The sequence below is a fragment of the Homo sapiens genome, chromosome X, assembly GCF_000001405.40.
Source record: "Homo sapiens chromosome X, GRCh38.p14 Primary Assembly".
NCBI lineage: Eukaryota > Metazoa > Chordata > Mammalia > Primates > Hominidae > Homo > Homo sapiens.
The window spans coordinates 139571575-139585755 of record NC_000023.11 but is presented as its reverse complement, the minus strand read 5'-3'; the positions used below and the strand labels follow the sequence as shown (position 1 = coordinate 139585755).

At 34.4% G+C, this 14181-nt stretch overlaps 1 protein-coding gene across 15 annotated transcripts in view; it reads left to right on the top strand.

Annotated features, from left to right (window-relative positions):
- The window catches only part of MCF2 (MCF.2 cell line derived transforming sequence), a 126398-nt gene extending 122412 nt beyond the window's left edge, over positions 1-3986 (top strand). For 8 of the 15 annotated variants that reach the window (NM_001099855.2, NM_001171876.2, XM_005262413.5 and 5 more), the window contains 2 exons: positions 578-690; positions 3253-3986. In NM_001099855.2, the coding sequence (NP_001093325.1) occupies positions 578-690; positions 3253-3285 (146 nt within the window). In that variant the 3' untranslated portion in view covers positions 3286-3986. Of the gene's footprint in view, positions 1-577; positions 691-2984 lie in introns of all 15 variants that reach the window. The other 7 variants (XM_047442112.1, XM_047442111.1, NM_001171877.2 and 4 more) reach the window with 2 other exon arrangements.

The window sequence follows — 14181 nt, the reverse complement described above, 5'->3', positions numbered from 1 at the left end:
ATGAAGCTAGGAGAATAGAAAGATAGTTAAACAAGCAATTAAAAGTAAATTTGGCGAGTGTTACAGCAGGGAAGTACGAAGTGCTGTAGAAGCATACATGAGGATCACCTAAACAACTCTAGGATCAACAGCATAGACTTCTTTGGAGAAATGCCTAACAGAGTGCCTGATACTCAACACTTTAATATGATGATCCTTAATATGGAAGAGTTCTCTACTGGTTGAGGAGAAAAAGGTAATGATAGCCTTGTAGAGTTTCCATTTATCCAATTAAAGGTCACTTCCCTCAGGTCATCTATGCTGTGGCCCCCAAAGAAGTAAGGAGAGAGCATAGTACTAATGCCTTCATTTGACAGGTGAGGAAACCAAGTTAGAAAAAGATGACAATGACTTTTCCCAGGTTGCATGAATAGTTTAATGTGGCCAGGATGAGATCTGTTAATTTGCTGCTTACATTAGATTGGTTAATCCATTTTTTTAAATTCAACTTTTTAAAGGATTACAGCTAGTTTTACTTCTCACCTTGTGGTAAATTAGCACCATGAAGTAACTGCCACATTCCACACTTTTCTTATAGTTTGGACTGAGGCATCACAATCTGCAGAAATCTCTGAAGAACCTGCGGAATGGTCAAGCAACTATTTCTACCCTACTTATGATGAAAATGAAGAAGAAAATAGGCCCCTCATGGTTAGTAATAATATAGTAAATTAAAATTATTGAGGCAGTTTTACTGATGAAATATAGGTGGAGCACATAGGGGCAATCTTTTGTCAGCATCCTTGAGGCCATTAGGAGTAAGCCATTGCTAAAATAGTTGAAATAAATCTTATTATGAACATCAGGAAGCACTTCTGTCTTTAAGTAGAACCTGTTTGACCTATACATAGAGCTTCTGCTGATGTTGATGAAATAGATAGTCAATCTTTCCAAATCTCTAAAATCCCAGTTTTATCTTTAGTAGAGCTTCACCACTGTGTTTTCCATCCAGGCATGTGAAATAAAATCAGAGAACAAAGGGGCTTCAAATACACTTTAAAAACCAGTTTGGATTCCAGATTAGAAAATAAAGGAAATAAGCATTATACATTAAAAACGATTTAATAACATCTGGGGGATATATTTTAGTGTGTTCTCAAAAATACACTAATGATATAAAATCTCAGCATATTAGAGCAAGGGAGCACCCTGTAAAATTAAAGGAGGTTGCTTTAAGGTTAAAGTGTTTATAGAAGGAATAGTTTGCAAGTTGGTAGGATACCAGTGGGCTATTAAAGAGGAGGTAGGACTGTTTGGGAGTAAATCCCTACTTTTCTAAAGTCACCAGCTTGGAAGGTAGGAGTGATGCTTGGAGGTAGAGTGCTCCTTGGTGCCCTTCAGAGGAATCAATTACATTTGGCAGTTCTACTGTTAGTATAAGAGGGTAAACCTCGTCTCTACTAAAAATACAAAATTAGGCGGTTGTGGTGGCGCATGCCTGTAATCCCAGCTATTCAGGAGGCTGAGGCAGGAGAATCGCTTGAACCCAGGAGGTGCAGGTTGCAGTGAGCTGAGATAGTGCCCTTGCACTCCAGCCTGGGCAACAAGAGCGAAACTCTGTCTCAAAAAAAAAAAAAAAAAAAAAAAAGGATAATGGCATGGATAATCACAAAGCTGTACAGCATTGACTCTGAAATGCAGTCTTTAAAAAAGTAGATATTGTTTCTCCTAATACTATGATGACCATAATACATATTTGTGTGATAGTTTACCGTTTCCCAAATGATTTCTCAATTAATATTCACAGTATTAGTATGAAAAAGAGCGGGCTTTATTACCTTCAATTTACAGAGGAGGAAACTGAGACTTAGATCTGGTAAGATATTTGTCCAGAGTTAATTGTCTATACCTGCAGTTCCCAAACTTTTTAATGAAAGAAGCCTTTACATCCTTGAAAATTGAAAACCCCAAAGAACTCTTGTTTATGTAGGTTATATCTTTTAAAAAATACTTTCAACTTTTATTTTAGATTCAGGAGGTACATGTGTAAGGTTTTGTTACATGGGAATACTGCGTGATGCTGAGATTTGGAGTATGAATGGTCCTGTCACCCAGGTAGTGAGCATAGTACCCAACATGTAGTTTTTCAGCCCTTCTGCCAACCCTCTTTCCTCCCTCTAGTAGTCCCCAGTGTTCATTGTGCCCATCTTTGTGTCCACGTGTACCCAATGCTTAGCCCCCACTTATAAGTGAGAACACGTGGTATTTGGTTTTCTGTTCCTGCGTTAATTTGCTTAGGATAACGGTTTCCAGCTGCATCCACCTTGCTGCAAAGGACATGATTGCATTTCTTTTTATGGCTGCAGAGTATTCCATGGTATATAGGTTACATCTATTGATATTTACCATGTGATAAAACTAAGAAATACAAAATTTTGAATGTAATAATTGTTTAAAAATATTAATAAACCCATTGTAAGTTTATATCAATAAGATTTTTGTTTAAAAAGTTACATTTTTCAAAATAAAAATCAGTGAGAAGACTGATTTAAATACTTAAATACTTACAAAAGAAATACTTTTGTAAATCACTTTAACTTCTGGCTCAGTAAAAGGTGAATTCTCATATCCACTTTTGCATTCAATTTGTTGTGCTACCATACACCTAGTATCCTCTAGAAAACTCCACTGTGTACTTGTGAGAGGATGAGAGTGAAAAAGGCAAATAGTGTCTTAATGTAGGTTGACCTTGCAGACCCCTTGAAAGGGTCTCAGGAACCCACAACAGTCTGTCTCCCACACTTTGGGAATCTCAGGCTTAGACTAATAATAAAAAGAAGTTTAATTTCTTTAATTAATGTTAGCTGGGGATGGAATGGATAGTAGTAGTTGTTAAATGCGAGCAAAAAGTCAGAGGAAGCCAGTTTGTGTTTAACCGTTTGCTGTAGATGATCTATGAAGGCATTGTAAAGAACTCAGTTTTAAGTAGGCATTTTTTTTTCTAGCTATGGTATCAGAAGATAAAGTAAATATGCAAAATTGAAGAATGCTTTAATCACAGAGGATGGGAATATAGAAAAACCTATTAGTTTCTCTCTCTTTGTCCAATAATTCTCTGAGATGTGCTACTAAGGAAAACATATAAAAGAGCAACACAATGTATTCCATACACCCTTCTTCCCTGCCAAAACAAGAAGCTGGAATGACCTGCTCTTTTGGCTTCACTTGGTCAAGTTGTAAACTGAGCAATAATGGGTGCTGCTTCCCTTGTAGAGACCTGTGTCGGAGATGGCTCTCCTATATTGATGAAGCTACTATGTCAAATGGCAAGTAGCTCTTTCCTGCCTGCTTCTCAGCTCATTTGGAAAAATACTGCGCAAAAGACATTGAGCTCAAATGATGCAGATGTTGTTTTCAGGTTAATGGACACGCAAAGAAACCACAGCACATACTTCTTTTCTTTCATTTAATAAAGCTTTTAATTATGGTACGCTGTCTTTTTAAAATCATGTATTTAATGTGTCAGATATTGTGCTTGAAAGATTCTCATCTCAGAATACTTTTGGACTTGAAAATTATTTCTTCTCTACTTTGTAACCAAATGCAATCGGTGTGCCTTGGATTATTTAGTTTATTAATGAATTAAGTCAAAATTACGGCTGCAAAATGGCTAAGGTCAAGTAAAGCACAACATTATGATTTAATATGCTTTTGTTGAAACCACAGCTTTTGTGCCCATTGTTTTAACTTGTGTGAAACAATACAAAGCCCAGAAATTCTTTTCGGGGCATGAGTAAATTTTGTTCAGGGCTACTGTCTGTATGTGCCCAGATAAAATTTTCATGAGAGTAGTTTACAAAAGCCGTATTTAAAAGTTAATATTTTCACACTTTTTTTCTGGATTTCTGCTTATAATTAATGTAACTTAAATTAGTTGTGCTCTGCTATTTTCTGTATATTTCATGTTGTAATTCTTTTTTTCAAATAAAAATTAATTCTTCAGGTTAGATAAACTTGTTCTGCCTTTTTCGTTCCCCATCACATACTGCTTCATGTCTGTCTGTTCCTGCAAAGCTGCTGCAGCTACCACATTTACCAGTGAAGAAAAGAGTTAATTCTTCATGTTGCAGAGCAGGCAGTTATGCAAGTGGTTTTGCAATCAAGTTTGTAATATAATTTTTTAAAACAACTTTACAGTCTCCAAGCAAATATAGATCCCTAGCAGACTGCAGGAAGAGAGGCTCAGAAGACCTCCTGATTAGAAATGGAGATGTCATTCAGCTTCTCCATGGGAATGCTGAGGGTCAATGGTAGGTGTGTTTGCAAAGCCTGTGATGATCTCCAGCTGGGGCACATAGATAGCTAATCAAATGTTCTGCTTTATCTGTATCTTTGTTATACAGTCTCCAAAAGCAGAAATATCACAGCGATGGCTTTCATTTTCATTGCTTCAGCACTGCCTATAAAGCTCACTGAAAGGAACATTAACCTTTGGTGAGTGAAAAATGCTTTGAACGAATGACATGCTATGAGTCTGCATGTTCTTTTGTAGTTTACCTTTGGCTCAGATGTTTTAGCTGATACGTCTGGGCTTTGTAATGGCTACAGATCACATTCCATCTGGTCATTTAAATCATTCATTAGCCACATATTTAATGAACGCCTACTGTGTGCCAGAGACCACACTTTACTACTTTACAACATAGCTACACTTCTGTTTATCAGGTCAAATATTGACTTTCTCATTCTACCCTTATGCCTTTGACTTTATATAGTACTGGTTGTAAAGATGGTTCTGCCAAATATACTGTTTAGGTAGGAGAGAACCCAAAGCAGGAAGAAAATATTGTTCGGATTGAATGAAACTTCCATAATTCTTTTGGATATTCTAAATGTAAGATTTCTGTCTTCATTGGGTCAATAACTTGAACTGAAATGCTACATTGACTGTGTACTCTAACCCTTTAGGTGGAAGAGTGTACACAGAGAATTAAAAGTTAATGATGGATCATTAAAGTAATAATTTTTTCTAATAACCAAAGTCCTTTGTAGATTACTTAAAGGACTCATGCACAGTGTCATGAAGGTCTTTGAACACATGCAGTAGCCTTGTGAAAGTTTGAGCTGCAACGTAATGTATTTGTTTTAATTCACTTAGTATTACCATTGTTGGCTACTAATTCATTTATTATTTAGGTTGGTGAAAAATCTAAACAGAAGAAAAGAAGGCCTGATTCTAGGAAACAGTTTACATATTTTAATTGGTGACCATAGGTTTCGGAATGCCAAAGTTACAGGTACAATATGAATAAACTGTACACAATTTGAAGACTAAAAATGTTAAAGCTTCACCAAAGAGGACATTGGCATAGAGTAATGACCTCTCTGCAGTTAGAAATAAAGCAGCAAACACATTATGTTAGCTAGAATTTATTTTTTTTCTTTAATAGTTTTAAATTTATGAATGAAAATTTTAAAGGCACATTAGACTTTTCCCTATAAAGTTGATAGTCTTGAAAGAGATTGAAGATACTATGGTGTTTTGTAAGATACCCTTCAGAATTAAATACTGAGGATATGCTTTTAAGGTACCTGCCTTACTGCCCAAGAATACTTTACTAGTATGTAGTTCTACACTGTCCTAGGAGCATGTTATTTCTTTATGGTAGGTCTCTGCTACACACACACAGACACACATACACAAACACACTTGTGTCTATACCCAAGACTTATGTGTGAAGGTAGTATGAAGCATTGGGAGCTAATCTGATGTTCATTTCTATTAACTTAACCCATAGTATGTAACATTTCTGTATATAAACCCGTTTTCTTGTAGTTTTTTCCTCTAAGTGACACTTAGTTGTCTGTTAAAAGGTAGCACAGAAAAGGAAAATCAATGAATTGTTAAATAAGATGATTCTTGCATGCACACACTTCCTCTGAAATCCTAGTTTTGGTCTTTTGTTTGTTCGAATTCCAGGTAATGGTAGACTGTTTAAACACACCAGGTGTAACTTATTTGGTTCCAAATTTTATTTGTAACATAAAATGAAATCTAGGGATAATGAGGCTTAATAGAAATGCTGGGTCACATGGGAACTGCTCAAATGGAGTCACTTCTCATTTGTTTGTTTGATAACTCTAATATGGGTCATCTTTCAAAGGCTTTTTGCACTAATTGTTAAATTATTTAGATAATTATTGAATTACTTAATTAGTAATCCGAAATCTAGTATACTGACAACCTGAACCATTTGACATTTATTAAAAATCTACACCCAACAACTGCAGAATGCATCATTATTTTCAAGTATACATGGAACATTCACCAAGATAGGCTGCCTTCTGTGTCATAAAACAAGTCTTCATAAATTTCAAAAGATTGGAATCATATAGTCTCAGGATGTAATCTTAGAAATCAGTAAATCCAAAGTATTTTGATATTAAAGAATACACATCTATACAATACATGAGACAAAGAAAGTACAAGGGAAATTAGAACTATTTCAAATTGGATGAAAATGAAAACTCAAAATATCAAAAAATTTCTGGATGCAGCTAAAGAGGGAGGCAAATGTATGGCTTTAAATACCTGTATTAGACACTTGAAAATCAATGTAATTCATCATATTAACATAATGAGGAAGAAAATTATATAATCATTTCAATAGATACAAGAAAGCCATCGATAGAACTTCATACTCATTTATGACAAAAACTATCAGCAAACAAGGAATAAAGGGAGTTTCTTCAATATGATAAAACACATTATGAAAACCCACAGTTAGCATCATACTTAATGGTGAACTATTGGAAGTTTTCTCCCTAAGATTGGAAACAAGCCAAGGATAGTCACTGACCATTTTTATTTAACATTATACTGTAAGTCCTAGTCAGTTCCATAACACAAGGAAAACATTAAAGAACTAAAAGATTAAAAAAGAAGATGCACCGTCATGATTAGCAGATCATGTATATGTACAAAACCATAAGGAATTTACATACAAGTCCCTACTAGAACTAATAAGTGAATTTTACAAGGCCACAATGTGCAGTCTTTACAAAAATAAATTATAATTCTATATCCTAGCAACAAAGAATTTAAAAATAAAATTTCAAAAGAACATTTATATTAGCAACATAAGATATAGAATAAATAGAAATAAATCTAATAACAGATCACAAGGCTTCCATACTGAAAACTACAGATCATTGCTGAGATATAATTAAGATGACCTAATAAATGGAGAGCTATACCATGTGCATGATTTGGGAATCTCAATTTTGTTAAGAAACCCATTATCCCCAAATTGTCCTATAGATTCAATGAAATCAAAATCAAAATCTCAGCAACTCCTTTTGAAAATTTATAAGACAAATTTATTCTGAAAAATATGTAAAAAGGCAAAGGATCTAGTACAGAAGAATCGTAAAAATTGGGAGGACTTAAGCACCTGATTTCAATACCCCTTATAAACTACAGTAATCAATACAATATGGCATTAGTGTAAGTATAGAAAAATAATGATTTCATAAATAGTCCCACATATACATAATCATTTTTAATCAAGGGGTCAAGTCATTTGAATGGGGAAAGGAAGGTTGTTTTAACAAATGATGCTTGGCAACTGGGTATCCATATGGAAAAATAAGTGAACCTCCATCTCTATATCTTACTTCATACACAAAAATTATTTTGAGTTGGATCACAGATCTAAACCTAAAAGCTAAAATAATAAATCTCCTAAAACCAAACAGGACGATGTTGTCATGACTTTGAATAGTTAACAATTTCTTATACAAGACAAAAAGCTATGAGGACGCAAAGGCATAAGAATGATACAATGGACTTTGGGGACTTGGGGGGAAGTGTGGGAGGGGGCGAGGGATAAAATACTACAAATAGGGTGCAGTGTATACTGCTCGGGTGATAGATGCACCAAAATCTCACAAATCACCACTAAAGGATTTACTCACGTAACCAAATACCACCTGTACCCCAATAACCTATGAAAAAAGACAAAAAGCGGTAGCCATAAAAGAAGAGTATCAGACAAATACAAAGAAACATTACACATGCTGAATTGAGCAGTTTACAACTTAAAAAAATATATACATGTTAGAAAAGGATAAAATCTAAGACAGTAACATTTTGAACACTTTCAAAAGCCAAATAGTTCTAATTAATCAAAATTAACTGATCGCATCGAAGAGTTGTTAAGTTTGAAAATAAATATAGCCAGCTTTCTGCCAACTATTTCATGCTTATTTAAATGGTCAATGAAGAGAGAGAGAGAGGCAGAGACACAGAAAGAGAACAGAAATAAGAAACATGGGTCACTTAAAATATGTGCTCAAATAACTGTTTGAATCAAGACATATAAATCAGTGTTTTAAATAAATTGTTTTTTATGAAGCAATTTAAAAAACCCAATAAAGCCATAAAATAATACTGTAATGTATATACTAGAAAAAAATTTCCTTCTTGTGCTCAGATCTCCAAGATTCAAAAGTGAAAACACAAAGTGTACTCATCTAACTTCCATATAAACATTTGTACTCAACATTAAGAAGACACAGAGTATATTTTCCATCACTTATCATCATCATTTTAAGTAGAGCCAGATCTCCTCACATTTAATTCAGGACAAAGTTAATTACATTAATTTTTAGCTAATTGTAATGCAGGACATATAAAATTATATATTTGATTAGTTTCAATTTGAAATTATTCTATTACTGTTAACTAATCCCAGTAGATTTATGGCTTATTAGCACCCTTTGAAAAGTGTATGGAAAAACAACAATTTCAGTCTACTTTGGGTCTGTGCTTATTTTTCAGGCAGTGAAGGGCTTACCTATACATTTATCAATGTAATACATTTTATTTGGGGGGAAACTCACATTATTCCTTTCTAGCCACTTTATTTCTACTGTGAGTGCACTTTTTCAATATTCTTCTTTTTTTGCAGTGCTATTGGGAGAGTTGAAATGTAATGTATTGCTATATCATCAGCATTTTAAGCATTTATTATTGTGTGGCATGATACTAGATAAGAGGACAAGGTCCCATTGATCTGTGTTCTCTGGAAGCCCCTGACTTAAGATTATTATTAAAATATATTACTTTCAAATGACATGCATTTTTGACTTAGGTTGAAATGACAAATTAATACTTCACGGTAGATTTTGGTTGAATGCTACAATATCAAGTGAGTCTTGATTGAGATCTATCCTCTCATTACATTGCACAGAGCGAAATAGTATATTGTGGCTTATAAAAATACATTGTGATGTGTGTCCATCAGTGGATTAGGACATTATAACTGACTATGCAACTGTCAACAGCATTAGGTTTAAAAAATAAGTTAGAGGGTTTCATTTACAATCTGGCAAATAGAATGTAAAGATCTCTCTGATATTATGCATTTAACATGTTTCCTATTATCTTCATGCATATGACATAATTAGTACAATATTTATAAAAATTGATTGTAGAAGAAGAGAATCTTATTTATTTTGTTTTGCTTTCAGTGAAGCTATCTCTTCTATAAAATAAATTCCTTTAATAATTATGAAACTGAAGACCTTTCATATTAAAATTAATAACCAGAAGACATCACCTTGAGTTTATGATGGACCTTTTGAATCCTCACACTAAGCCTGAGAAGTTATAGCACAGATAACATTTTGGCTTTAAAAGTCATTTGAGTGTTAACATCATTCTTAATTATTTTGGAGATGCAGTTCTGAGTAACACAAGGAAACCGAGTTCCCCTTGAATTCAAGGAGATTGAATAGACTTTCTAAAAATAATATTTTCTTTGAGGGTGCGAACTATATTATATTTCCTAAAAGGGTTACAGATAAACAGCACCATAGTCAGGTTATCCTACACTGCCCATGACATCTACAGAAATTTCCTCAGCATGGAGTTGAACTTCGTTATTCGCAGCTTCTCAGTCTTGCAAGAAGCATCTTTGCATCTTCCATTACCCCAACACAAAAGTGCGGTGCTATTTTGTTGCCAATTAAAGTTTTTTACAGCCTCTGTTTGGATTTCACCTGAAAATCTGAAATCAATTCTTTTGAACTTTTACAGATAAAAAGTTTTACTTGTATTTTTTGGGTAACTTTTCAGTAACAAAACTTCAAAGAGGGAAGAGAGAGAATCAGAGATTTAAACTCCTGTGTTAATTGATAGTCTATTATTTAATTATGTGCTATCTATGTGATTATAATGCCCCAAAGAGATATGTTCTGAAGGATCTCTTTTGCATGCTGACTGACCTTTAGGGTTGTTAGAGCCATCTTATAGTTTTAAGATGATCCAAAGCTAAAAATCCTGTCGTTTTGATATGTTAAACTTTAAATTTTATGCATTGAAGTTTAGGTACATGTCACAGCTTTAAGTTAAATATTCATATCGGCACCACAGATGTTTCTTAATAAAGCTCTGCTTTTCAATGTCTTTACTTTTCAATTTTCTAGAAAAATTTATTCTAGAAAAGATTTTCTGAAGTTGTATTTCTTCTTAGTTTTTTAAAAATAATACATATATAGATTTCTCTTTTTTAAATATATAAACACTGTGATCACTTCTTTTGAAGCAAATGGCCAGTTGTTGCATGCAATGTTGAATTTATGTTTGGAGTATTTTATATTATGGACTTCTGAAAACAATGGTTTGAAACTTCTGCTTTTTGAATCATGAATTGTGAGTTGGACTTTCAAGTTGCATATTAGGTGCATGTTTTTCTGTGATTGGTTAATACAAAACAATAAACACAATAGCTATATAACATGTAATTTGTCTTTCAATTAGGTTTATATATTGTATGAAGATCACAGATTATGCCAGTGGTATCATCTGATGGAACAATCTGTATGGCAAACCAATTGTATTTTATCTAAAGGTACTTGCAAATTATAAATCTTCTAATGTCCAGTTGCTGGAATTCCTGATGGTAGATTTATAAGTTACTCATTAAAGTGTCCATATGCTTGATATTTCACTTAATTCTTCTGCAACAACAGAATGAAATCAAAATACATTTATTTTGTTTGCTAATACTGTGATTTAGAAGACAGAATTAGGGAAATGAAATTCTTGAATAATGATGTCACTCTGCACAAAGTGTTTTAATTTCATGGTAGTAAACTAGAGATTTTAATCATTTAAAACAATGCTGAGTTCTGTTATAGTCATTTAATATTTTAATAACTGTACATGAATGCTATATTTGTATATGTTTACAAATGTAACTGTACTGTCTTAATTTTATTAGACTATAAATGTGTATTACTCTAAAATATAGCAGCAATTTCACTTTAAGGTCTTCAGAAATTTAATTACATTGTAAATGTACTTACGATGTAAATGCACTTGTGTATATTCCACATTAAAAATATTCAACCTTAAATTCATTCATATACTTTCTTCAGTTTGGTATAACGTCAATTATACATTGAAAATAACTTTCCTCTCATTTATCAGTGATACTCTCCTAAAGGCACCATAAGTATTTTTAGATTAATGTTTACCTTCAGCCTTACTTCATGATTCTCTCTTTGAGAGAGAGAGGAGAGAAAGAGGGAGATCTGACCAGAGCCAGAGTACAATGTTTTGCTCAAGAAGTTGCTTTACTCAAATCTGTAAGATAGCAATGAAAGCAGTTTCAAAGGTTAGATAGCCATGTTTATGAGTGCATGCTTCCATACCCTAAAAAAGTCTGCTTCCATATACTGAAGCTCAAGGAATCCTGGAAAGCACCTAGATACCTGCAGTTGTTTTCTGATCTATAACTTGCTTCTGCAAAGGACTCTTTAGTTGGAATTGCCAGACCTAATGATCTCTTTCACAGCCCATTTGGAAGCTAGTACATGTGCCTTAATATAGAGTGAGGAGAGAAGCCTATAACCTTGGTTTGACTGAATCTTTCATTAAAAGAAAACAACACTGAGATTGTTTTAGATGTCTTAATAAGCATCCCATCACAGGATAACTACCTCTTTTACCTTTAAATTTGTTTTGAGGTCTTTTGAGAAAACACTTGTGTTAGGCCGTTCTTGCATTGCTATAAAGAAATATGTGAGACTGGGTAATTTATAAGAAATGAGGTTTAGTTGGCTCACGGTTCTGCAGGCTGTAGAGGAAGCATAGTGGCATATGCTTCTGCGGAGGTCTCTGGAAGCTTGCAATCATGGCAGAGGGCCAAGTGGGAGCTTGCACATCACACAGCAAAAGCAGGAGCAGGAGAGTGATGGGGGATGGGCCTCACACTTTTAAATGACCAGATCTTGTGAGAACTCACCCACTATCATGAGGACACTACCAAAAGGATGGTGCTGAACCATTCACAAGAAATTCGTCCCGATGATCCAATCACCTCCCACCAGGCCCCACCTCCAACATTGGGAATTACATTTCAACATGAGATTTGGGCAGGAACAACATCCAAATTATATCAGCACCATCAGTGAATTAGTTAATCAAATTAAATTCGTCTCCAAAGAACTCCCTGAAAAATAAAATGTGTATTCAAGTTTTATTCCTGTGTTGTTTGAGGGGTAAAATGCTATTGGTGATATTTCCAAAATTACACATGAGTCTCACAATATAAAATACATAGTTGTTCCATTGTGGAAGACAGTGTGGTGATTCCTCAAGGATCTAGAATCAGAAATACATTTGACCCAGCAATCCCGTTACTGGGTATATACCTAAAGGAATTTAATCATTCTACCATAAAGACACATGCACACATATGTTTATTGCAGCACTATTCACAATAGCAAAGACTTGGAACCAACCCAAATGCCCGTCAATGATAGACTGGATAAAGAAAATGTGGCACATATACACCATGTATTACTATGCAGCCATAAAAAAGGATGAGTTTATGTCCTTTGCAGGTACATGAATGAAGCTGGAAACCATCATTCTCATGAAACTAACACAGGAACAGAAAACCAAACACCACATGTTCTCACTCATAAGTGGGAGTTGAACAATGAGAACACATGAACACAAGGAGGGGAACATCACACACCAGGGCCTCTCGGGGGGTGGGGAGCTAGGGGCGGGATAGCATCAGGAGAAATACCTAATGTAGGTGACGGGTTGATGGGTGCAGCAAACCACCATGGCACGTGTATACCTATGTAACAAACCTGCAAGTTCTGCCCATGTATCCCAGAACTTAAAGTATAATAATAAAAAAAATCTAAAAAAATACGTGGTTGTTATAAAAGCCACCCTGACATCTAAGCGTTTACATTCTCTTAAGAGAAAAATTTCATAATACATTGTGGAAAGTGTAGGAGAGCAGAAGAAATACTTGACTTGAAGAGAAATCAGGTCAGTGATTTTGTTTTGGGTCTAGTCAGAAATCAACCTGGTTTCACTCAACAGACTTTCACTGAGGAAAATGCTTATTATTTAGTAAGTATTAGAACACAGGAGCCTTCTTCCTGCAGGGCAGCAGACTCTACGGTGTTTAATGAGTCAAGTCTCAGGCAATAAAATATCAAAACAAGTCATTTTTATTACATTTCAGTACACTTCCTCACATTGATTTCGACTGGTCAGTTTGCAAGGGGTTTTATGGGAAAACATGGGAAGAAACCGGTGTTATGGACAAAAACTAAACTCTTTATACTGTTCAAAAGGCAATTAGTAAAAGTGACAACCAGATTTTTAAAAAATTACTTTTTACTTCAAAATGCATTTTTAAAAATTTCATGACGTAGTTAAGTATTAAATTGTCCTTTGCATTTGGTGAGGGCTTAGTTGCCCCTATATATTGATCACCTCATTTTTTTGCGTGTATGAATAAGCACATTAAATTCTGAGGAGGTGTTTTAAGCATGTGTCCATCAAATAGGACTCATAATGTGTACTGAGAACAGCCAATGAAGTTGAACTTTGTGAAGATTAAGTTCCTTAAGCTAAATGAAACTTTCCTTAAACCCACCCAAAACAAAATGTAAACCATTTCAAAGATAAATTTCATCTAAAAATTTGTCAGACTCACTAACTTAATTATTTCCAAAATAAGCGACAAACACAACCTTTCTGGAGAACAAATGAAAAATTATGGCCGGGTTTGGTGGCTTACACCTGTAATCCCAGCACTTTGAGAGGTCAAGGCAGGAGGATTGCTTAAGCTCGGGAGTTTGAGACCAGCCCTGGCAACATAG